The sequence below is a fragment of the Homo sapiens genome, chromosome 7, assembly GCF_000001405.40.
Source record: "Homo sapiens chromosome 7, GRCh38.p14 Primary Assembly".
In the NCBI taxonomy this organism is placed as follows: domain Eukaryota; kingdom Metazoa; phylum Chordata; class Mammalia; order Primates; family Hominidae; genus Homo; species Homo sapiens.
The window spans coordinates 141,706,481-141,732,180 of record NC_000007.14 but is presented as its reverse complement, the minus strand read 5'-3'; the positions used below and the strand labels follow the sequence as shown (position 1 = coordinate 141,732,180).

The 25,700-nt window shown below is 40.0% G+C and overlaps 1 protein-coding gene, 1 long non-coding RNA gene and 1 pseudogene across 4 annotated transcripts in view, besides 1 other annotated feature; 1 reads left to right on the top strand and 2 right to left on the bottom strand.

The window, feature by feature from the left end:
* The window catches only part of WEE2-AS1 (WEE2 antisense RNA 1), a 34,228-nt gene that overhangs the window by 6,050 nt on the left and 2,478 nt on the right, over positions 1-25,700 (top strand). The window contains exons 3-6 of one of the 3 annotated variants that reach the window (NR_015392.1): positions 4,036-4,189; positions 4,803-4,977; positions 8,157-8,265; positions 17,807-17,992. This is a non-coding gene — a long non-coding RNA (WEE2 antisense RNA 1). The remainder of the gene's footprint in view (positions 1-4,035; positions 4,190-4,802; positions 4,978-8,156; positions 8,266-17,806; positions 17,993-25,700) is intronic. The other 2 variants (NR_199840.1, NR_199841.1) reach the window with 2 other exon arrangements.
* Positions 910-23,828, bottom strand: WEE2 (WEE2 oocyte meiosis inhibiting kinase). Its single transcript, NM_001105558.1, has 12 exons — positions 23,081-23,828; positions 17,776-17,972; positions 15,914-15,959; positions 12,937-13,109; positions 11,125-11,246; positions 8,901-9,047; positions 8,133-8,240; positions 7,906-7,991; positions 6,985-7,155; positions 4,735-4,877; positions 2,508-2,650; positions 910-1,886 (listed from the first exon to the last, which is right to left on the bottom strand). Exons 1-12 carry the CDS (start codon positions 23,420-23,422, stop codon positions 1,861-1,863), a joined length of 1,704 nt encoding a protein of 567 aa, NP_001099028.1. The 5' UTR covers positions 23,423-23,828; the 3' UTR covers positions 910-1,860.
* On the bottom strand, positions 4,033-4,197 carry RNU1-82P (RNA, U1 small nuclear 82, pseudogene; annotated as a pseudogene).
* Positions 16,866-17,066: a silencer, noted in NCBI's record as "peak6798 fragment used in MPRA reporter construct". NCBI's record gives its function as "represses an SCP1 promoter by STARR-seq MPRAs in K562 erythroleukemia cells {active_cell/tissue: K562}" and the evidence as "EXISTENCE:reporter gene assay evidence [ECO:0000049][PMID:32103011]".

The window sequence follows — 25,700 nt, the reverse complement described above, 5'->3', positions numbered from 1 at the left end:
ACATCCATAGAGAAGTAACATATTTTCTAAAGTATTTTAATTTAACTTCTTTAATGTTACCAGCCCAATGATGTTAATAAAATAATTGTGATAATTAGTTTCCAAGTTATATAATGATCTCTGTGCAAAAACAAAACTTACTGAGGTAAGAAATAAGCGTCTAACTGAAATGGAAGGGATGAAACGCTAAGGCCAGTGAAGACGCAGTCCCTCACACTCAGTAGTATCTATGCAGATACATACTATTTTGGTGACATCCTGCTGCTGCAGATCCAGAGAGACAGAGAGAGAGCCAGAGAGAGAGCGAGAGCGAGAGAGAGAGAGAGAGCGAGAGAGCGAGAGAGAGAGCGAGAGAGAGAGCGAGAGAGAGAGCGAGAGAGAGAGCGAGAGAGAGAGCGAGAGAGAGAGCGAGAGAGAGAGCGAGAGAGAGAGAGAGAAAGCGAGCCAGAGCGAGCACGAGTAGGCCAGAGAGGACCCGAGCGGGCTAGAGCGAGAGTGAGAGCGAGAGCGAGAGCCAGAGAGCCGGAGCCAGAGAGCCAGAGTCAGAGCCAATGGAACTGGCACCAGGTGCGAAGCTAGGCTGAGGAACACAGTAGAGAAGAGGCTGTAGACCCAAACAGTCATAGTTATCAATGCCTGAGAAGACTAATATAACCAAACAATTCTCATCTATACACTGGATGTACTTAATAATTTCCCTGTTTCTAAATCAGAAATTGTGGTTGACCTTGTACTATACTACAAGGAACATGGCCTGGTGTGTGTGTGTTGAGGGGGAGGTGGCAAGAGATAAACTAACCCCATTTTATAATTTTGAACAGAGCCTAGTAAAGAAAAATGGCAATGGGCTATAGGAAGACCAACACCACACTTAATTGCATGGAAAGAACTGCTACTCCAAAGCAGAACAAAGAATAGTATTAGGGTTTATTCAATTAAAAAAACTTAATTAGCTTTTAAAAATGAGGAAAAGAAGAAAATCAAGCAGCGAAAAAGCCATTATCATTAACAGGTTGCATTCACTAAGATGACACAAACAGAGCTTATCAAATACCTTTATGACCAACATAATTTTCTAGCAGATCCTGACCATCATTAACTGTTGGAACTGTGAAGCTGAGACTTGCCACCAAGACCTGTTACTACTGACCCACTCAATTCTCTTACCCTTTTATTCATAAAATGTTCTCCGACATAAATTTCTCATTCTTTGTTAGTTACATTTTACAAAGGATATTTTACCTGTAATTAGGCTTTGGACAAGATAAAAACCTTTATTTAAAAATACAGTATTCTCTTCCTTTAAAAATGTGTACAGAAAAAGGATTTAGATAAAATATGATTTTAAAAAACAGGAAACAAAGCCAAATTCTCACAAAAATCAAGAGAAATTGGTGAGACCCAGAATATCAAACCAACCAGAACAGCAAGAGAGGCAGGGCAAATAGATGGAGAACAACCACAGGCACATCAAGTTTTCCCTGAAGCCTCTCCCCACAGCATTTTTGTTCTGCAAGTTAACAACCAGCTCAGAGATGTCCAAGTTGCATGCAGTCTAACTTTTACCCACCTCACATAATGGTGAAACCATTTATTTAATAAATACAATATCAGAAAGGGTATACATTAGGAGACCCACTTCCTCAAAGAAGCTGGGAATTCTCTCTTAGGAACAGCATCATATAACCTGGGAAGCGCTGTGGAAATCCAGGCACATTTTCTGTAAGCTGTGACTTCAACTCTAAACTAAATTCTATTCCTTTCTATGTACAACGAGTCCCTGGGATCTTTGGTGGGGAATCAGCAACAGCAACCTCGTAATCCATAGGCCAAACCAAGGGCTGTTTTCCTTTTCTTCCTTTAATGCAGAGGCTCACGCTCTCCTGCTGTTCATCAAAAGTGTGAGAAGTAAATAAGTTATTGATCAGTGGCATTAGGAATATAACAATAGAGAAGAGAAATGGCTTCCAATTATTGTGTCTGGGACCCTTGAGAAGACAAAGCCTTACTAGCTTTAGGATCTTGGCTATAAATGGTAAATTAGTAGTAGCTTTTGAAATCCTTGGGCATTCAAGTTGGCTAATTTTTTCATTTTATAAGAGGAAGGTTGGGACAGCTGATATCTATTTACAGAGGTTCTACAGTAAAAGGTTGGCTGGTGCAGAATGAGTTTTTTTTTTTTTTTTTTTTTTAGATACAGAGTCTCGCTCTGTTGCCCAGGCTGGAGTGCAGTGGTGTGATCTCAGCTCACTGCAAGCTCCACCTCCCGGGTTCAAGCGATTCTCCTTCCTCAGCCTCCTGAGTAGCTGGGATTATAGGCGCCTGCCACCTCGCCCTGCTAATTTTTTGTATTTTTAGTAGAGATGGGGTTTCACCGTGTTAGCCAGGATGGTTTCGATCTCCTGACCTCATGATCCACCTGCCTTGGCCTCCCAAAGTGTTGGGATTACAGGCGTGAGCCACCACGCCCGGCTGCAAAATGAGTTCTTAAGGGGAAGATTACTCACAGGTAAAGCTTGAAGACCTTGCACTCTTTCCTCCCACCAGGCGTTTTGTGCTTCTTGATCCTGTGTGGGTCCCAGAGACCCCAGTGTCACCATGATGGGTATATCCCTGGGGTGACTGGGCCTGCTGGGCTTCTCTCAGTTCCCTGAAGTGCGAGGGAGAAAAAGCAAAGGCTACTTGATCTCCAGTCAGAGATATGTATGATCAAAACTAATATATAAATGTTTTTCTTCTTGTTTCAGTATTTACAGAAACGAAAAGCCTGAGCTATGTACAGAATAGAAAATTCAGTTACTATGGTTGTCATAAAAAATGGTTGACACACACATGTCATACAACATGGCAGGTTTAGCTCCCCAGGCTCTGCTGATTGGAGTATAAGTGATCTTTAAAATGCTTTAAATTAAGTGAACAGCTCTTCAGGCTACATATGAAAGGTACCAGGGTCAATAAACCACAACTTCTGAGTCAAATCTGGCCTATCACCTGTATTTATAAATAAAGTCTTATTGGAACACAGCCACTCATTTATAGTGTAAAAACAGCCATTGACAACATATAACAGCAGAGCTGAAATCATTCCAGCAGAAAGCATATGGCCCACAAAGCATAAAATATTTACTCTCTAGCCCGTCACAGAACAAGTTTTCCAACACTTGGTCTAGACCAGCGGTCCCCAACCTTTTTGGAACCAGGGACTGATTTCGAGGAAGACAGTTTTTCCATGGGTGGGGAGTCGGGGGAGGAGATGGTTTCAGGATGAAACTGTTCACCTCAGATCATCAGGTATTAGATTCTTGAAGGAGTACACAACCTAGATCCCTCACATGCACAGTTTACAATAGGGTTTGTACTATAAGAATTTAATGCTACCACTGATCTGATGGGAGGCAGAACTCAGGCGGTAGTGCTCACTCACCCACTGCTCACCTCCTGCCATGCAGTCCGGTTCCTAACAGGCCACAGACTGGTACTGGTCCATGGCCCAGGGGCTGGGGACCCCTGGTCTAGACAATTTCAAGATGCTGTCTGCCCCATCTCTATGATAGGTGCCCATCACTGGTACTGGCTGATGATAGTCACCTGTGTCTCCATAGCTGGCTTCCCAGAATGTATACACCACACCTTAAGAGGTACTTATATTCTTGTGAATAACATATGTAAGTATAGTACTTTGTACTTTCTTTATTAGCTGGGACAATGGAATTCAAAACTAGAACAGAAAAATATTAAGAGGCTTATTAGGAAGATTTACCTGACTAAAGGCCAAGAGTCTCTACAAGTTATTATTAATACTAAGAAATCAGGTTAGGGATGCTTCAAAGCTAATCTTTCCAAGATGGATGACTGTATATCCAAGAGAAGCTGGACTTCTAAGCTTATTTTAAGCAAGGACAATTTTTCATTTTCTTCTTTTGTATTTTCAACAGTGTACAGTATATGTAATAATTACTCAAAAATGCCTTCAGAACACTGCTCATCTCCAACCCCACCCCATCAAATTCCTATTTTTTTGTTTCCGTTTTTCAGGGGAAAGCGCGAATGCAGTCCCCCACTACAACAAATTATGCAGTCGAGTTTTCCACATTTGGGAATATCACAGGGGTCAGCACATCCGGAGTGCAATCGATGAGCCCCACGCTGGGAAAAACCACCTTCGTGATCATGGTATCTTCCCTGCCAGGTAAGTATTTGAATTCCCATTTATTGAAGGAATGGATTAACAAGTAAATATATGCATGAATACAAGCCCACATGAGTAGGGGAACAGATCGTTTTCTTTGCTCAGAAAAATAATCCTTCCTCCAAATGTGTACCAGGACAGTATGTCTACCTGCCTGCCCCTGAAATTTATGGGTTTCTAAAATAGGTCTTACCCATCTTACCTGTGGTTATCTTATATTAGGTGATCACCAACCAGTTACTAAGATACCTGCTGTCACTTAGAATCCTAAGTTTTCTTTACTGGTATTTCCTTATATTCCTCACTCTTGCTTCCTTTGTTTGCGTTAACTGGAATTTTCTCTCTCAAGCAACCTAATCACAGAGCCTCCCAGCCCGATGCTACAAAGAGCCGCATGCTGCCAGTTTCCTTGTGGGCAGGGACCTATGTATTATAATGGTGAATATATTTATACTTGAATCCACAGAGAAGACACAGTAGACTAGTCATACCATTGTGAGTAGTGCTCAGATTCTTTCTTGACCCCCCATCATCCAAAAATATACCTTTCCAGTGTGGCAGTCTTGAACTTTTCCAAATTCAGCTGCTGTTGGAGCTCTTCTGTTTTTCCCAGGGAAGGCCGGAGAACTGTATTTCTGGCCAGAGCTGCTGCAGAAGGTCTCTGTTCGGCATCAGGTTGGATCATGTTCTGATGATATAGGACCAAGAGGAAAGAAACAGAAGCTTCACTATTGGGAAAAATCTTCCCATTCAAGCCAACTCCAACCCAGCTTCTCCTGGTGGATTTTGTAAGACATTGCTTCTGCTTTGTGCAGAGGAAAGAAATGAAAACTGAGCTCCACCTGGGGCAGGAGGATTGTCCATGTCTGGTAGCACCAGTTGTCCACACCTTTGATTTGTTTTTAATCATATTTTGGAGCTGGCTGGCTAACTAGTCTATTGCCTTAGTTTTAAAGCAGAAAAAACTAAGACTCTCGATAAAAATTATCCAAATTACTGGAATGGACAAGACCAAAACCCAGTTTGCCCAACTCTTACTCCAGTTTACTTTCTACCACATCATGTTGCTTTTTCACTTAGTATTAATAACCCAACATGACAGTATTCCTGAAGCATTTATTTTAAGGTAGACGATGTAACCTATCATGATTTGAATATAGTAGAAAATACCTAATTATATACAGCAACTGAAACTGTCATATAATGAAGAAAACACTGAACCAAATTCAGACCAAATTCAGAGCCAACTCCACCATTTGTTGTATAAACTTTGCTGAAGCTCCATTTCCCTTACCTGAAATTTGGGATAATTATATTCACTTTCTTGAACTATTTTTAGAATTTAACAAAATTAATATATGTCTTATCTAGTACAGGGCCAGCATTTAGGTACTGAAATATCAACTAAATGCAAAAGTGGTTTACATATGGAAATAGGTGATTAGACTGAACAAAAGGAAGGAGGAAGAGTTTGCCTCCTTTCAGGAAAGCAAAAGAAGTCAGGAAGAAGGACAGATTTGTAAATACATTTGAAGTTTGCAGGTAAACTGTGAAACTAATCTCCCACACCTGCAGTCCAGCTACTCAGGAAGCTGAGGCAGGAGGATTGCTCGAGCCCAGGAGTTCAAGGCTGCAGTAAGCTATGATTGTGCCACTGCACTCCAGTCTAGGCAACAGAATGAGACCCTGTCCCAAAAAATAAAAAATAAAAATAAAAATAAAAAAAATCTAATCTCCAAGGAAGTAGATATTTCTAAGGCTGTTTTGGGAATCCTAGCCAATCCTGTTCCTTAAGACATGATTTAAAGTCATATATACACTTTTCTTGACATGATTAAGCTTCTTGACAGTATAAGCTTTTTGTTTCTATTTCAACATAGTATCTTCCTTTTCTTGTCCCCACACTACTCAGATGTCATTAAGAACAAGTAAAACATAGATTTTTGAATTGACATTATGCCTTTTTTCTAATAGCTCAAATAATTGGTATTATCAATTATCAATAAAGTAGTCTTATACCTTCTTACATATAATAGAAATTCATTCTTTTAGTACTATCACTGTTATCACTAACAATAGTTAAAACCCTGAAGTAGGAGCTAAAGGACCAGATTTGATTTTGGAGTTAGCCAGTCATTCATTGTGACTACAGGTGTCAAGGAGCTGCTCTGAGCCATGGTTTCCTCAACTGCAGGATAAGATGCCACCTGTCTACCTTATAGGGTTGTTAGAAGGGACAAATGAAAAAATGTTTGTAACAGGATTTTTAAACTAAGCATGAAAAGATTTTACAATATCCTCCGAGTTTCCTTAAGAAATTCTCGATCCACGCCCCCTCCGCTGCCTGCTTTTTTTTTTTTTTTTTTTGAGACGGAGTCTCGCTCTGTCGCCCAGGCTGGAGTGCAGTGGCACGGTCTTGGCTCACTGCAAGCTCTGTCTCCTGGGTTCAAGACATTCTCCTGTCTCAGCCACCCAAGTAGCTGGGACTACAGGTGCCTGCCACCATGCCCGGCTAATTTTTTGTATTTTTAGTAGAGACGGGGTTTCACCGTGTTAGCCAGGATGGTCTCATCTTCTGACCTTGTGGTCCACCCTCCTCGGCCTCCCAAAGTGCTGAGATTACAGGTGTGAGCCACCATGCCTGGACCCGCCCCTTATTTTTTCTGGACTTCTAGTCACGTTCCTTTTTCTGTTAGTGACACTACTAGCATCTCCATTTTTCTTTGCCCAACTAGTTGCCATCGCACTAAAAAAATAGATATTGCATCTTCTGTTCATCTCGTAAGAGCTATCACCTTGAGCAGACTGGAAAAGCTTTCTGAGAGCTCCTGAGGAACGTCCGGAAAGTTACCCTTGCGGATATGGTGCCATGCAGCACCATTGGTGGGCAATGACTCTGCTCCTGCAGCCACTGCAATTGTTAATCCCAAGGCAAATATGTCTGCTTTGGGAAGGTGCCGGTAATCCTTCAAAACAGAAGACAGGAAGGCCAGTTACTATGCCAAGCAGGGTGAGTCTAGATTAAAATATAACTGGTAGGAAAGGTTCATTCGAGTGCATATAAGGTTTAAACAGACACGACGGTCAAAGATACATTCGCTGTAGTTAGTGATTTCTAGAGAAGAGAGAACACGAATCTACCTGATTAACACTGCTGTGCCCTGAGGAGTCCAAGGCAGAAACTTACTGCCATTTTGCTGTCAGGCTCAGAAAGGCTTGCTACATAACTTGGCTGATCACAGGAAGGGAATACTCATTTTTACTTGATTATCACCCAGGAAGAAGTTATATCCTTCCTAGGCCTGACTCAACAGACATTGGAGAAGATGGGCAATGACTAAACATCATTTCAATAACCAAAACTGGTGGTGCTATCAGAAGGATAATGGCATGATAGATTGATTGGACCAATGTGGGCTTGAGGAAAAGGCTTCCTTCTTAGTAGGCAATCCATGAGGTTAGGAAGTCTAAGAAATATTGGGAAACAGTAAAGGACATTTAGAAAGAATAGTCTGAATACTGATTCATCCTTGACTGAGCCAGCTTTCCTCACTTTTTTGGAAGAGTTTCTCTCCTATCTTTGGTCTCCATTCTGAATGGGAAGAGCGGTACTATAATGATAAATATACAGTTTTAATTTTTTGCACTGAGATCCTCCATTTGAGAGTCAAAGGTTCAACAGATTATAAAATACCCTCCATTTCCCTAATCTATACCTCTTGCAAAATCTCATTAGCCAGGAAGCGACTATCTCCTTCTTCCACTTTGGGTTTGTTTATTGATGTTGCGTGGCCCAGGTCACCTAAAAAAAAGAAAAAGGAAAAAAGAATAAAATCGAACAAAAGAGCTTTAAAAGCATGTCTTTCTTAAAATGAATAAATTGAGTCATCACTATAAATTTTATAGGATAATGGTAACTGGTAAGGCTATAAGGCAGACTAACCAATTTTATACATCACATTGGCAGAGAGAAACCAATCAGCTTCATTTTCAACTTCTTCTATGACTCCAGAGGATTCACTTTGCATCTTGTGACAAATGAATATATTACCTGAAAAAAAAATGACAGGATAGATGTAAGTAATGACTTCTAAGCTTTTTCCTCTCAAAGATTCTTTTCTGTATTTGACAATTCAGCTTCTCTCCTTTCTTCTTTTGTGTGGACATAGACTACTAAGGTTTTTTTTTTGTATGAAATCTCACATCGCTTCTGAACAGCTAGTGATTGATAATACCTATTTAAGTTCAACTGATCTCATATATTCTCCATTCTCTGATGGGACTGGTATCAGAGTACTATTGTCCCCAAAATAAAAAAATAGTAAGAACTTGTCCTTGGGTTTCACATTAATGAGTGACAGTTACTCATTTCTCTTTAATCAGTGCAGAGTTAGAATGAGTATAGCCCTAGTCATAAACATAATCAGAATGTAGCTGATATGCTGTCACTTGCCTTTGTAGTAAATTAAATACCTAATTTTACTTTTTTGGCCTTACTACTATATGGGTAAGAGTCTTTTTTTCTATGTCTGTTGGGCCTAGGGGAGAATAAAACTATTTAACTGATTTTTTTTAAGGAACACAAATGGAAGAAAGGGGTTCTGCCAGCAAACACCGTCCTTGACACTTGATAGACATACAGACCTAGATTTTGATGATAGCATAGAAAGAACAAAATACGGTAGAAGTGGCAGAAGGGAATCACACTGACTAGGTTTGATGTCCAGGTGTACCATGCTAGAGTTGTGGATGTAATTAAGGCCAAGGGAAATCTGTAGAAGGATGTCCTTGAGTTTTGGCTCTTCAAAATGATTGCCAGACTTAGTGTTTTCAGATATAGCAGCTTGCAAACTCCCACCTGGGAAAGAACAACAGAGAACAGCCCCACAGTATGAGTCTTATAGATGAAAGCATAGTAAATACAATTGGCCTCCTATATCTTCAGGGTATTAGTTCCAGGACCTCCTGCAGATATCAAAGCCCCAAATGCCCAAGAGCCTTGTATAAAATGGCATAGTACTCTGATCAATACATTCCTCATGAATGCCTTCAGTCCAACGAATAGATTACTTCGGTGTCAGTACAAAGCATAATATCTGCCCTATTTATACCACAGACATGTTGGAAAGGAGAATTACAGGGCTTTCAAAGAGGAAAAGAAAATGCCAGTATCTCAGGTATCCAGTATATGGCCCCATTGATTCAAATATGTACCAGCTAACATTTTAAAAGTTTTACCTAATTATTAACTAGAAGATCAATCAGGCATAGTCGTATAGCTACTATTGGTGTCAATGATTAGCTCCATGTCAGTGTCAGGCTAGTAGTTATAGGCCATCAGTAATTTTAATTAATGGAGTCTAAGTCTAATTTCATTAGAAATAGATCATAAAATATTTAATGACTGCCAACCCAAGGAGAATATAGAAGCTGCACATACACCTAAATCTTATTTGAGCCACAGTATTTGTACATCAACTGTACTCGATTTATTGTTATCAATTAAATAAAAGGCCTGGATTCATATAGCTATCTGATCTTGATTCTAAGGTATTAGAATGCTTCTGAACACTTTTTCTTTTTTTTTGAGACGGAGTCTCACTCTGTCACCCAGGCTGGAGTACAATGGCATGGTCTCGGCTCGCTGCAACCTCCGCCTCCCGGGTTCAAGCGATTCTCCTGCCTCAGCATCCCCAGTAGCTGGGACTAAAGGTGCATGCCACCACACCTGGCTAATTTTTGTATTTTTAGAAGAGACGGGGTTTCACTATATTTGGCCAGGCTCGTCTCGAACTTCTGACCTCGTGATCTGCCCGCCTCGGCCTCCCAAAGTGCTGGGATTACAGGCATGAGCCATTGCGCCCGGCCTCTGAACACTATTAATTAGTGTTCATTGGCAGGTTCTTCAAATTATAGAGACCCAGCTCTAACTGGCAGTTACAAAAACCATAGCTCCACTCATTGAGCTCTGAGATAGTCATGGAATTTGAGGGAAATAATATTTAAATGCATTCTGTGTAAAATTGAATTTAAAGAATTATTTTAGCATGACATGTAAGTTCAGAAGGGAGAAAAATTTAGCTCGTTTCGGAAACACAAGGAGGGCTACAGTAAAGTTTTTTATTTTTTGCAAGTATTCTTAGAATTTATACACTATATATGACGTATTAATTAGAAACAATAAGTAAGGAAAGAGCGTTTTGGAGCTTGTTAAAAATGAAGTCACTCGGCTAGATGCAGTGGCTCACGCCTGTAATCCCAGCACTTTGGGAGGCCGAGGCAGGTGGATCACCTGAGGTCAGGAGTTCAAGACCAGCATGACCAACATGGGGAAACCCCGCCTCTATTAAAAAAAAATACAAAAAATTAGCCAGGCATGGTGGCAGGTGTCTGTAATCCCAGCTACTTGGGAGACTGAGGCAGGAGAATTGCTTGAACCCAGGAGGTGGAGGTTGCGGTGAGCCGAGATCACACCATTGCACTCCAGCCTAGGCAACAAGAGAAAAACTCCATCTCAAAGAAAAAAAAAATGAAGTCACTCCAAGACAAAGTGTGTAGGTGAGGTCATGAGGTGCTACCAACAAGGAGGAGGGCTGCAGCCACCAAAGCTCTGGTTTCTCTACCAGCCTGGATGTTGCTTAAGGGGAGGGAGCACATCTAACTCATCTTCACTTGCCCAAGGCCTAGCATGGAATAAATATTTTCTGAACTGAATGATTATCCTGACAACAGAAGGGAAAGAAAGAATAAGTCGAGGACCCCTTTAAGAGGAAGAGAAGCTCTGTGCTTCCAAGCAAGACTATAATATATAGTACAGACTTTTTAGGTATATCTGCTATCCGTGGAATGAACTATGAGGAGGAGGGAAAGTTTATTTCTGAAGGCTTATAAAGTTCATCTCCCTCTTCGTAGTTATTCATCTATATACTACTTACCATTGCAGTATTCATTCTGAATGATCATGTGGTCATCTTCTGCCCATGAGGAATAGTAACGTACCACATGGGGGTGATGCCCAAGCACTGCGTGAGCATAAACTTCATGCAAAGCCGAATTCCTATGAGACAGAAAAGCATTGAGGAATAAAAACATCAATCAAGATAATGCACACAAAAATGTTTCTTAAAAATATGAGGCTTTACTAGCAATGGCAGAATATTTATTGAGAGCTCACTGCTTGCTTACTATTTTATCTCATTGAATCTTAATAATCATTTGGTAATATACAGTGGAAACAATGAAGGCTGTTGAAAGTAAGTGGCCCAAAGTCGAACTGGTAATAGCAGACTTAAGAGCAGAACCTTGGTCAGCCTGGTGCCAAAGTCCATTGTTTTTTTTTTATTTTAACATGGCATATGTAAAGAGGAGCTTTAAGTGGTTATGCCTCAATGGCAGATGTGCATCAGGTCTTCATTTCATCCTATCACAATCAAAACATTTTAATGGGCTTAACGAGAAGGCCACTGTACACCAGATTGTGGATATTGCAATGGGCCTTTGATTCATCTCTATAAAGGCTAGGCAGTCATTAGAGTGAATGTTAGCCTCAGCCAATATGATATACTCACAGGAATAGCCTTGGGGAGAGATATTCCTTATGGAATAGAAAATCCCAACACAAATTAAGCAAAATAGAGTACTTGATGAATCTCAGTATAAAAATGAAGAACTAGCCAGGTGTGGTGGCACATGCCTGTAGTCCCAGCTACTTGGGAGGCTAAGGCAGGAGAATCACTTCAACCTGGGAGGCAGAGGTTGCAGTGAGCCAAGATGGTGCCACTGCATTCCAGCCTGGGCAACAGAGCTAGATTCCATCTCAAAAAAAAAAAAAAAAAAAAAAAAAAAAAAAAGAGGAATTCTAAAACCTGTATAAAACCTGCAATTCTAGATTCTGCATGTTAAGTATATCCTCACAGTTCATAAAAAGCCTTGGCTGATCTGAAAATATGTGTTTTCCTTGTGATTAAGGAAGAACTTTTGAACAGTTCTGGGAATCAAACAAACTTTCATTTTCCCTTGCATGTAGTCTCTGAAACTTTACTATTGAATTCATTGTTAATGTAAAGTAAAGATAAACCAGTGACTTTATAATAACTTTCTATTTGGTAATATTTCTGATAAATGAAACAGACACCAGAGGACAATTCCACAAATCTATTCATTTTTTAAAAAGTCAGAAAGACCAGCAGTAGAAAGTAAAAGCCACAAAAAAACAAAACAAAACAAAACACCACATCATGATTGGCCAGGTGCAGTGGCTCACGCCTGTAATCCCAGCACTTTGGGAGGCCACGGCAGGCAGATCACAAGGTCAAGAGATCAAGACCATCCTGGCCAACATGGTGAAACCCTGTCTCTACTAAAAATACAAAAATTAGCCAGGTGTAGTGGTGCGCGCCTGTAGTCCCAGCTACTCAGGAGGCTGAAGCAGGAGAATCACTTGAACCCAGGAGGTGGAGATTGCAGTGAGCCAAGATCACACCACTGCACTCTAGCCTGGTGACAGAAAACAAACAAACAAACAAAAACACATCATGATCTAAAATGATCGTGTTGTATTTTAGGAAGTAACATCTCTGAGCTGGAAAACTCAGAAAGGTTATGAATATGAGATAACATATAATGTGGGGTGATTTTAAAACACAAATGATTTTTAATGACATCGGTGCTTTAATTTAAAATAATTTGACAAGAAACAACTCTCCAAATCTAAGTTTATATTTTTAGTGCATTTCAAAGGTACTCACTCATTTGATAATTCTGTAAAAGTTTTCATAGAGCGCTTTATTGCATAAACACATCCATCCAGCCTCTTAATGCACTTGTAGACTGTACCAAATTCGCCAACCCCAATTTTTTCAACCTCCAAGAATTCTTTTTCATAGCGGGAAGCCATGTTGGTTTCTCGTAAAACACATCTCTAAAGTATTTTAATAAAAAGGAAATTAGAGTAATTCTACCATGTTGTAAGCAATAAAATTAAACAGTATTACAGTCCTAAGTTGCTCCAAGTTTTCAAAAAGACTTTTGAGGTGACTGCAATGAATTCTACTTGGGTCAATATTCATGGTAGCAAGAATCTCCCCAATTGCTGACTATCTTCTTTGTTTTCTTTGTAACCTTCTGTACAACCCTATACTGACAATTCTCACTTATTTTTCAATATTCTTTTCTCTATCTGGGCATACTGTTCTTTTCTACATGTTCCTAAGGGGACACAACTTCTCACTCCCAGAGCTACTGTCCTTAGTTCAAAGAATAACTGGGACCTGGGTGGAGCAAATTAAAAGAAATGAAAGACCCCCCTTCTTTATGTGTCTTAAAGTCTGAATGCTAATGTTTCCATCTCAAGCTGAATAAGCATACTTGTTTTCTGTTTCTTTTCCCAAAAATACCAGCCTGGAGAAATGATTTTGTCAAAATTGTCAAACTTTGACAATTTTGGTTAGTTCAGACTATGTGCTCAGGTCTAGCAACCACTCCCGCTACTGGCCAACTAGCAACATCATTCATTGCCCAGGTAGTAAATAACCCCAGGCCAATCTGAACTCCTTTCAGTTTTCCTATCTGTAGGATGAAGATCATGGCAACACTCTTCAGGGTTCTTTTAAATATTACATGAGAATATACAGTATTACATATATTGTAATATATCTTAGGATAGTGTCAAGTACATAGTAAATTCTCATTAAACTATTATGACCAAAAATCTCCATAAATTTATATGAATCTAAATCCAAGCTGATTTATCTCCCAAAGTCATCTTTTCTCAGTGTCCCAATCCTGAAGAATTTTTCTCCAACTTTATGAGTTTGAAAAATCTTGGGTTTTACTACTTCCTCATTTTCAACATCTAATTCTGGTCACTTTCATCAGCAAGATCTCTTAATTTTCATTACCCTTAGCCAGTCTCAAGCTCTGTTCCCTTCTTGTCTGGATTGGCTACAGCTACCAGCCCTCTCTTTAACTCTTCTAATAGTAAGAATTATTTTTGCAAAATGATACCACAGAATCAGAGATGCCTAATTGTTTCCCATGAGAAATTCAAACTCTTGATAAGAAAGCCTCAAGACCTTCTACCAACTGCGCACTCACTACTTGACTACCCTCCCCCTAGATACCAATGAAGCCAGTATACCATCTGCATCTATCCCTGACCACTCCCCACCCACCATACCCCTCTTACACCTGAACTCTGTTCTCCTGCCTTGATAGCATTAAAAGTTATTTACTTCCTTAGCCTAAAATTATCTTAATATACAATCTCTTCCTACCCAAGCTCTATTTCATAGAAGTATTTACTAACCACTTCTAGATTTTAAAGATATACACGCATATGTATATTCACATTGCACATATGTACATACACATATACACAAATACATATATCTCATAGCTTCTAATTTACATATAGATTGTTTTGAAATTTCAAAGGTTTTAACTCCTGTTTGGCCAGATGTTTTTCCTTAAAGGGTGTAACTAAATACAATGCTTTGCACTTATTTAATGTTCAATAAATATTAGAATTTCTATCTGAAATCAAGAGATAAATTATAAAATAAGTGAGGAATAAAATCCAACAGTAAAATAATGGAGGCATAAGTCAGAAACATTTGCATTTGAAGGAACACCTGTGCCAGTGGCCGCCTTTTCTGTGATGTTTACAATAGCCAAGTGCTAACATTTTAACATATTAACATATTTATTTACGCAAATAAAACTTGCTTCAGAAAACTTTAAAAATTTAAAGGAAAAACAAATATGAAGTTTCCACCATTCAAAAATGTTGAAATAGCAGTGGTTATAGCTCCATTTCATTCTCCCTGTGATTAATGTGCAATAGATAGTTATGGTCATTCAGCGTATAAAATTTTGAGTCTTTTGCACACTAAACATTAACATACGCATGTTTTCAAGGTGTTATAAACATCTTAATGGCAATTTAGTATTTCACTGACTTAAAACTGTAATTAGCTTAGCCATTTTTCTATTATCAGGCATTTGGTCTCCCCCCTTTTTTGCTGTTACAATAAACATCTCTAAGGATAATGTTTGCAGTATTATTTTCTTAGGTTAGATTATCAAATGAGGGATGGATCAAAGATTGTGAACATTATAAAATCAAATATTGATACATTTAAGAGCTAAAATTTTACATATAAATCTCTGGCTCTATGCCCCTTTTTTCCATTATCTTTTTCTATTTTGAGACCAAAAATATCTTAATTTTCCCTTCACTTCTCTACCCCATGAGTGTAGAGTTTTTCTCCAGATTAAAATAGTAGCAGAAATATGTAATTTTAAAATTACTCTAAAGTAATGATCCAGCATATACATATCAGACACTGCCTGGCAGAGTTACAACTAGCTGAGAACACAGACCCTGACTAGGGTCCAGATAAATTCAGCTGCAAAGCACATTTACAAAGCTAGCGTGTGAGATGGGGTGAGATGGGGAGGGGAGGAGAGAAGGAGAGTAGGAGAAAGGAGGGGAGGAGGGGAGATGGGGAAGAGAGGGCAGAAGGAGAAGGGCAGAAGGAGAGGGTAGAAGAAGGGGAGGGAGGGTGCAGGGTGAAGGAGAGGAGGGGAGGGTGAGGAAGGAGAAAAGGGAGGGTAGGGAAGAAGGGAGGAGGGAGGAGAGAGAGGGAGAAGGGGAGGGGAAGAAGAGAAAGAATAGGATAAACTGCCTATATTGTGGCCGCTGGGACAAAGAACTACGCTTACCTTGGCAGGCAGCCCTCCCTTGCCTTCCTCTGGACCAGCTTCCTCACTTAAAAAAGAAAAAAAAAGTTTATCAATATATAATTAATATTTATTGAGGCCGAACTATGCTAGGTTCTAGGGATGTAAGAGTAAATAAGACAATTCATTTCTCTTCGGTTTATATGTGGAGGCAGGGATAACCAGGAAATTTCAATACAAGAACCTAGAACTGGATAAGATAACAAGGATACCATGGACAGCACTCAATTATTTCAAGAGTGAAAAGCTTTCCCAGAAGAGAGAATATATAAGCCAAGATTCTGGGAACGAGTAGGAACTAGCTAAGGGAAAAGAGTGAGGTTTTCAGCAGGTAAAACACCATGTGCTGGAGCAAGAGAGCACAGAACATATGTGCAACTGTTAAATGGGTATCTTTATCCCCAAACTAGGAAACCAAGACAGAGAGAGGTTAAATAACTCTAGGTCAAACAATTAGCAAGTGGCAGAACTGGGACTTGGAGCCAGGTCTGACACCAAAGCATTTGCTCCTCACTGCCACACCACACTCTCTTTCCGACACCCACCCCTCCCCTAGAATCTGGCTTTGTAATCGGTTCACAGGTAGACTGCAAGTAGGGCAGAATCTGCTCTAACCCGGGATGAGATATTTTCAATTACTCTTCGATAAGCTAAGTGACCAGCAGACATCCTCTTTGCCATGCATACTTGTATTCTGGATCCTTAAGCAAGATTTCAACTAGCTATAGATTTTTCTTTTGGAGAAACACAAGGTAGAAATGGCAAATGGAAGGCACTACATTCATGGAAATAAATCAATGCTTGGTATTTGTGATTTAGTACCACATTGTAATACTTTATGAAGTGTTTATAAATTATAAAAATAAGGAAAAATACTCTCTTAGAAGCACCAAATGACGCTACAAAAGTGTCAGGATTTCATATTAGCTGTCTTTGTTGCTGGCTTCGGTGAGAGTATAATGATTTACAGAGACTCCTTAAGAACTAAAACCAATCGAATTCTTGGTAGCCAAAGTAGGTGGGTGGACTTGTGCTGAAGTCCTGTTTATTTAAGTAAGAAGGAGATAGTGTTGAGAGAACCTATTCTGGTCAAAGACTGATTAACACATACTCATTGACTCCAAAGAAACAACTTGACATAGCACATTAAATGCTCTGCAAAGTTTACATTGTTAGCTGTCCATTTATTTCGCTGAGTACATATGAACATAAATGACTGCCCCACTTTGGAGGCGATTCCATTCTATAAAAAAGCCTTGGAGAGACATAGTAATGTTCCTGAGTAATATGCACAATCCTTATTTGGATGATTTCTGTCATTCAGGGCCCTTTATGGAATAGTACAGTTTGGCTTTCTATTCTTTAGCAGCTCTGAAAGCAATGCTTTTTTGCTTCAGCCAATCTTCCATCACCCACAGAGAAGTTCAAATCCTTGCTCTATAGCTTTCATCACTAGTCACACAAGACTCAAAGCAGCAACGTACTCTTTGAAGTTTGAGCTACACGTTCCCCAACTGCCAGCCTCATATTAACCAGAGGGGACCCCTTGAATGCAATTCCATAGCCCACTCAACTTCCTAATAGAAGCCAGAGATCTATTGCTTATTCTGTCTTATCCTTTTATAGAGAAAGCATCTACAGTACATATCAGAATGGAAAGATGTTGGAATCTCTGTGATAAAGCAGGTAAAACCAGCATTGATATCTAGGAAGGGGAGAATATGTAAGCATATACATTTCATTCAAATAGAGTTCTCGTTCCTAATCTTACTTTAACACTCACTTCTTACTACTTGACTGTAGTAGGGTCAGTTCTCAAAAGTCATAAGTAATAGAGCACTTACAGATCTCCTCTTATTTTCCTCTTGCCACCAGATTGAAGAAATAATTTTTTATAGGACTCTGGAGTGAAGGGATTAATATTGACCAGAGCCAATGAGGTCATCTCATCCTTGAGGGGAGCAGGTGTGAGCTTCAAATGCTTAGGGCCTCTGGAAGGAAGCTTCCCTGTTGGAGAAATCACCAACCGGCTCAGCATGGTCTGAATGAGGATGACAAAAGGCAAGTCATAATAGCATTAGTAAAGACATTCCTTATCAGTTAGCTAGTTAATATTTGAATCTAAGAATGCTTTTGCTGAAGGGGCCTTAGAAATTATCTGGTTCCATGTGAACTGGTTGCATTGTAACTGCTCCTCTTATGAAAACTATAGAATCCCAGTCTCTACCTCTAGATATTCTGATTCATGAAGTCAACACAGGAATCTGTACTTTAGTCAAGCTCCAACCCCTTCCCCTGGGCAATTCTGTTAGCTAGCTATGAAAACCAGTTGTAGTCCTATCTCCAGTTTTTAAAGACATGGACATTAAGTTTAGACAAATAAAAATGACTATATTCTCAGAGCTTATGCTTTAACTTCCCCTCAATTATTCATCCAAATATTTGTTTGGTGCCTACTATGTAGCAGATGCTGGGTTAGATGCCAAGTGGTACAGAAGTGAATTCTAAATCTTAAGGAATATATAGTTCATTATTCAGCAGTTCATCAGTGTTTCAGAAATAATCACCTTGTAAGGAAAAGATTTCATAGACTATTTAAACATGAAAAAAGTTTTTAATTTCACTTAAAATAAAGCACTAACTGAGAAGTGCTTCATGAAGTGCGGTAATGAGATTGAAAATTAGTACTCTAAGCCCTTAAGATTCAGATCTTTGCAGTGGCTACAACCAGCTACCAACAAATAGGTCAATGTGCAGGACTTACCACTCCAAGTGGCATACAAGAAGAGAACATCAGCCTAAACCTAACCAGAATGAAACCAAAGGGCGAAGGGAAAAGCCAAAGAATTCCAAGGCAGAATGCTGACCTGATGTCAGGGGCCAGAGGAGTAGCTGTGTTATGGATCTTCAGGAGTATGGCAGCACACACAGGGGCCACAGTATAAGCATTGCACTGTGAGGCTCTTTCTAAAAGACTTCTACAGTTCTGATCATCTCTGCCCATGATATTTTAGTGTAGAAGCAGAAGCCAGATTGCGTGATTCATTAAAGAATGTGAGGCTACCAAAAATGAATATTGGATCTATTGTAAATACTAAATAAATGATTGAATAAGCAGGAATGAAGGAAGCTATAGAATTTACATAGTAACCTAGCCTTTTTTTTAAGTGAAGAAAAATGACGTCATTGCCAGAGTCAAGTGTTTCTCCTATCTTGGAGTTCATAGGGCTGCTTGAAGAATCCAGGAGGCAGACAAGCCCTCGCTGACAGACTCACAGCTTTCCTGCGTGTTTATCATGAAGACTGAGGATTGGTTCAAAATAAGTGAAACTATAATGATATTTCTCAGTTATCAATGTGATTTGCAAAATGAACCTAGCATTTTGTAGTAAGTCATTCTGAGAATTCGTTTTTTGTAATGCTGATTATCATATGGAAAGTAAAACACATCTATTACATATGAAACAGTGGGTAGCCACACCTGGAATGCAGCACATAGTTCTAGTTGTCACATCTCAAAGAAAGTATAAGGGGCCTAGAAAATATTCAGATAAAAATTATTCATATCAGGGAAGACAATATTAGAATTTCTAGTCAGGAAATATGAGGGCCAAGAGAATTTGTGAGCACCACTTATGATGTAGGGAAGAATATTATGTTAATATAGTCGTTATTGCTGGAATAATAGAATTATGAGTAACCCTTTCAAAATCTCAAATAACATAGTTTGAGATAAGACATATGAAAAGAACTTCTGCTTGGAAGCAGAGGAATTTGAAAATTTATTGAAAGATGACACAGGTTGAGAGTATAAATGTGCTCTAGAGAGGGCAAATAATTCCATAAGGAATAGCTGTAGCACAGATGATTGAGGGAGATAAGGGAAATTTGGGGGATAGCTACTTGACTTATGAAGATGGTGAGAAGAGAAGGCAACCTCTCACAAAAACACAAACATAGTATCTTGGGACAGAGAAGGATTTTAAAGGCCCAGTCAACATGATTAGTCCCTTGATGCTTGAATCCTGATATTATTGGGATGTTTGGATGTTTTAAAGGCCCAGTCAATATGATGAGTCCCCTGATGCTTGAATCCTGGTATTATTGGGATGTTTGGATGTTTTAAAGGCCCAGTCAATATGATGAGTCCCCTGATGCTTGAATCCTGGTATCATTTGGATATCATGTTGAAATATAATCCCCAGTGCTGGAGGTAGGGCCTGGTGGGTGGCATTTGGATTACAGAGGTAGATTCCTTGGTGCCATCCTCATGGTAATGAACCAGTTCTCACTTTGTTAGTTCACACCAGATCTGGTTGTTTAAAATGAGCCTGACACTTCCTTCCTGTCTTGCTTCCACTGTCTCACTTTTTCTCTCACCATGTAACAAGCTGCCTTGTTTCTGTCCACCTTCTGCCATGACTGTCAACTTCCTGAGGCCCTCACCAGAAGCAGATACAGGCAATATGCTTACTGTACAGCCTGCAGAACTGTAAGCCAAATAAACCTCTTTTCTTTATAATTTACCCAGTCTCAGGTATTCCTTTGTAGCAAGGCAAACAGACTAACAAATCCCTTCTGCAGTATTTCTACCAAGTGGTCGGTCATCAATGAGTGTTCTATGCTTTTAGCCACAGGGAGCTTACACCTCCTAAGCATGCTCTTCTATCTCTAGATGATTCTGTCAGGAAGTCCTTACAGTGAACTGAATTTCACATGATTTTTGGTTCCATCCCTTGGACAAGACTGACTAAGCCAATCCTCCTTTCCCATGCAGCTTTGTCTTCTGCATAACAATGATCAGCCATCAAGCCTCTTTCCTCTAACGCAAACTGTGTTTTCATAAAGTATGTACTTTCCCAGTTGCATTTCAGTTTTGCTCCCAAGCCCTGTTCTCTGCCTCTCCCTTAAATGCATTATCCAAGATTTCTAACTGGGCCACTTCTCTCCTTACTCTGGCACTCAGGCTATGTGACCTTATCTCCACCCATGGCCTCAACTACTTCCTAAATGCTGTAGATATCCAAATACGGATTTCCAATTTTCATTGTTTTCTTGTGCCCCATACCCAGTTATCCAACTTTTTATACCACATCTCTGCTTTTCTCCAAACCCATATATCCCTTAGTGTCATCTATCTTGATTCTGTCTACTGAACCAAGCAAGAAACCTCAGTCATCAGATTGTTTTCGTTTTCCCTCGACCTCTCCATCAAGTCATCTCTGAATTTTTCACTGTCCTAGTCCAGGCTCTTCTTTGTTCAACAGGGCTATTCTGAATACTGCTCTACCTCCAGGCTCTCTCATGCTCCATCCCACAATACATACAAAGGTCATGATTTTTCCAAAAAAATCCCTCTACTCAAAACCATGGTAATGGCTCTCTCAACACTCTCAGGATTAAAATCTTGATCTAGCTTCTGCCCACCTACACTGGCCTCATCTCTTGCACTCTCTCACACACAGGCCCGTCACACTGAATAACATGCTGTTTTCCAAGTGTAGCAGCTCCTTCCCCTCCATAACTTGGTGGATGCTTTTCCCTTTGCCTAGAATTCCTATTCCCCTCTTTGCCTGGCTAACTCCAAATATCCTTTAAGACATCTCTCAAACATTACTTTCTTTGGAAAGTCTTCCCTGATAGAGATGTAATTCCTAATTCCTTCTCATCATGCTCAACCATTCCTCTAGTACACGTTTTGAACTTTATTGTTTCATTTGTTTAATCTTTATTCATTTTGTGGGCTCTTTTTGAAGGCAGTGAATGGGTTTTGCCAGCAGAGGGTCTGCTAACACATCAAGGTGTTCAGTTAAGCTGTGAATGATCAAATGAATGTCATGTTTTCTTCTCTGTGTACTCTTACTCAAAGCCACATTCTCTCAGCCCATTCTCCCCCATATATCAAAACTGGACCAACTTTCATTGCCCTTCCTATACCTTTCTTTCTTTCCTGATCACCACACTGAGAATCTGTCCAGCGGGTTCTGACCACACTTATCACATAGTGCCTTTTGGCATAACTACTCTCTCTCTGCTAGACTGTAAGCTCTTTGAGGGCAGAGACTGTATTATATGCTCCTTACCTATAGGGAATTCTCAAAGAATAAATGGGTGATTAATTGGCTGGTGCTGTGACCACTGAAAAACCCAGAGATAGACATCGGAGCATATTAGTTTTTCTACAATTCAAACAAGCAGCTTAGAATTTCCTGGTATACATGGTACCCACACCCAGCAGGTACTAAAGAGACCTGCTGATAGCAACTGTGTCGCAGTCAGGATCACAGATGTTATTATGATGATCTTAAGTGCCTCAGGCTGAACCAGCAGGAAGCCGAGCTAATACCAATCCTAGGACTCACACACCATGGCACCAGAGTTGATTAGAGGCAACCCTGCCCCAACTATGGCTTTAATAACATGAACGATGCAACAGGACACCAATCACAACAAGAATAAAGGAATATGCTACTAGGGACTCTTGCTTATTTGCCATCCTCAGCTTATGAAGAAGTATCAACAAGTTTCCTCTTTGCTGACATATACTAGAAGAACCTGGAGGTTCTTCTATTAGACCAAGGAGGGGAGAGGAGTTGTTTCTGGGAGGAGCAGCAGCAAAGAGATATGACTATGTTCAAACAGTGAGTGTGGACGTTCTTATATTAGAAAGTATTAGTAAATAATCACACAAAAATAGAGCCAGTTGGCGTAATGGAAAGAACAATAGACTAGGCCAAAAAGATCAGGTTTCTAGTCCTGTCTGTAACATTGGCTGAGCTGTGAGACAGTTTCTGTCTTGGGCCCTTCATTTTCTCATATGTAAACTGCACAGCTGGAGCTCTAAATCTCAATATTCCTTCCAGTTCCAATATTCTTTAACTAGGGACTTTTTTCTACCCAAGATTTGTTTGTGGCCAATAGCCAACAGTTACTGGCACCAGTGGTTTTGAGAAGACAACTGGCAAACCATTTAATTCTGTCCATTTTCTGGTAATTTTAATTTCTTCATTTTCATCAATAAATGTGTAATTGAGGATATACACAGCCTGGAGGTGACTGTCATACACACATGAATCCACTCTATCAGCTAAACTACAGGAAAGCAGAGCTTGGCGACCTGCGTCCCTTTTTCCCCCACCCCTTACTTACTTTGGGAGTAGAGGGGCTGTCACTGGGCAGCAGCTTGCTCCTGCTGTCTGGTTGGGCTGGTGTCTCAGGACATTTGAGAGGGTGTGACACTGGAGTCCTCAAAATCTGATCTGGACTTTCTTTGTCTTTTTCCGAAGATGTGTCGAGCTCATGCACGTTGCTAAGGGGAGTCCAAGGTGGTGTACCCTTTGCCTCTGAATCCTGCACTTCACCCTTCTCTGGGGTTTGGCTCGAAGCCTCCCTGCTTTCTTCTACTTTCTTCTGCCCTTCAATCTCAGTCTCCTCACAATAGGAAAAGTTTAATTTCTGCCTTAGTTCTTTGTCAATATCTTTGTCATCCATCTCAGCCAAAGAGCTTTACAACACAGACAAAAAGCTCTATCAGAAGGGAACGCTGTGAACCTACAGAAGCAGGGAGGAGAAAATAACTTAACCTGCAGGTTTCGCGACGGTAGCCTGAATTTCCCTCTACCAACTAACAGCTACAAAACACGGTGTTAATTTTCTGCCTTAAGTACCACCAATCTATAAGACCTCAGCTTATCCTGATTTCCATTCTGATTAAAGAAAGCTCCAGTGACTCTCGGAGCAATTAAATGCAGTTCATGTACAGAACTCTTCTGGATATGACACATAGTCTCCCATGTGTTACCAAATACTAGTGAGAAAATTGAATTCCTTTAATTTAGCATGGCTTTAAAAATACCCATTAGCCAATTTGGGAATAAGCTAATATTGAAAAGAAATTATTTTCACTCCTTACACCTGCCATTTATAAATATCACCCTCTCCTCCCTTCTCCTCCCCACCCACCCAATAGCTAACAGCAGGTAATTACAATTTAGCATCACCTGGCTATCATAATGATCCTTAAACAGCCTCTAACATATCTTGACTGGAGTTTGTATCCCTGACAGAGACACAGCTTAGCTCTGTGCCAAACACACCTGCCCTAATTCAGGCATCTCCCTCCTGCAGCTGTTAGCTGTTAGCAGTTAAAGCTTCTAGGGAATTGAACAAAAATTTAAACTGACAAAAGAAAGGCTAGAAAGATCAACAAACCATAGAAACAGATATTGATCACTGGAAAACAGCAATGGCTTCTGCCAAAAATGCCTTATATTGTAAAATGCTTTTTAATATCTTTAGTACACATTATTTAATTTCTTTCTCAGAGAAGCCCCTATGAGAAGGATGGAAAACTCTTTGAAGAAAAAAACAACTATTATACAATCAAGCTGTCCCTCTTCTCTTCCAGTTATATAGCCAAAGGAAATAAAATCACTATCTCAAAAAAATACCAACACACCCATATTCATTGCAGCATTATCCTCAACAGCCAAGATATGGAAACCACCTAAATAGCCATGGACAGATGAATAAAGAAAATGTGGTGAATACACACACACACACACACACACACACACACACACACACAATAGAATATTACTCAGTCATAAAAAAGGAAAGGCTGCCATTTGTGATAACATGGATGAACCAGGGGGATATTAAGTGAAATAAGCCAGGCACAGAAAGACAGATACTACATGATCTTACTTATATGTGGAATCAAAAACAGTTGATCTCCTAGAGGGAGGGAGTAGAATGGTGGTTACCAGGATCTGGAAAGGCAGGGGAAATGGGGAGATGCTGATCAAAGGGTACACACTTTCAGGTATAAGATGAACAATTCTGGGGACCTGATGTACAGCATGGGTGCATATGGGTGTGGTAAATTTTTGGTAATCATTACACAATGTATAGGTATATCAAAGGAAAAAGGCCTCACTGATATCACATTATAGAAGAAAACTATGTGAGAGGCAGTCCATGAAAAAGGAAAATGATACACTCATGCCCCTCAAGGAGGCTTCAGAGGGACTGCAAATAGGGAATTATTTACATGATAAACATGGGCCCAAAGAGAGACAGGAACCAAGGCCAGCTTGATGAGTTTGAAACAAATGTTATTTCCCTTCTCTTTATAGTCTTTGCTACCTGTCACCCCTCTTCCATTTCCCTCTTTTCACAGATCTCTCCACCACTTTCTCCTAATTCCTTCCCCATTCCCAGCCAGAACTCCTGAGGAGGGTAATCCAAATGAAAACTAACTGGGGAGACTTCAAAGTGTTTTTTCAGCTCAAAGCCTTCTCATGCTCCAGCCCTTTGTAGGTGGGCACACCAATTCATCCTTCCTTGGCCCTTCCCTACAGCCTCCCACCCACACAAACTATCCCAGATAATTCAACAGGGGGTAAAATATTGCTCACAAAATGCAGTAACTCACTGCCCACCTTTGTCAGAGATTCAGTATCCTACAGGGGCCAGTAAAAACAGAATCATCAAAGAAAAAGGAGAACTCATAGGTTACCAGTAATGCAATTATTATCAACTGGGATTCTCAGCCTAGGAGTGTCTTGTTTACAAATCAGCAAGCCAGATGATAGATTTCTTTTCTATAGCCTTGGTGTTGATGAATTTCCCCTCACATGCCATGGCTTGTCATTCCTGCCTCTCCAGGCAGCTAGAGGCTGGCTTTGCTCTCAGTAAAACAGGACTGACTCAAAACACTGGCTATATTATTGTCCTGTAGACAGGGCACAGGGGCTGGTTTATTAGG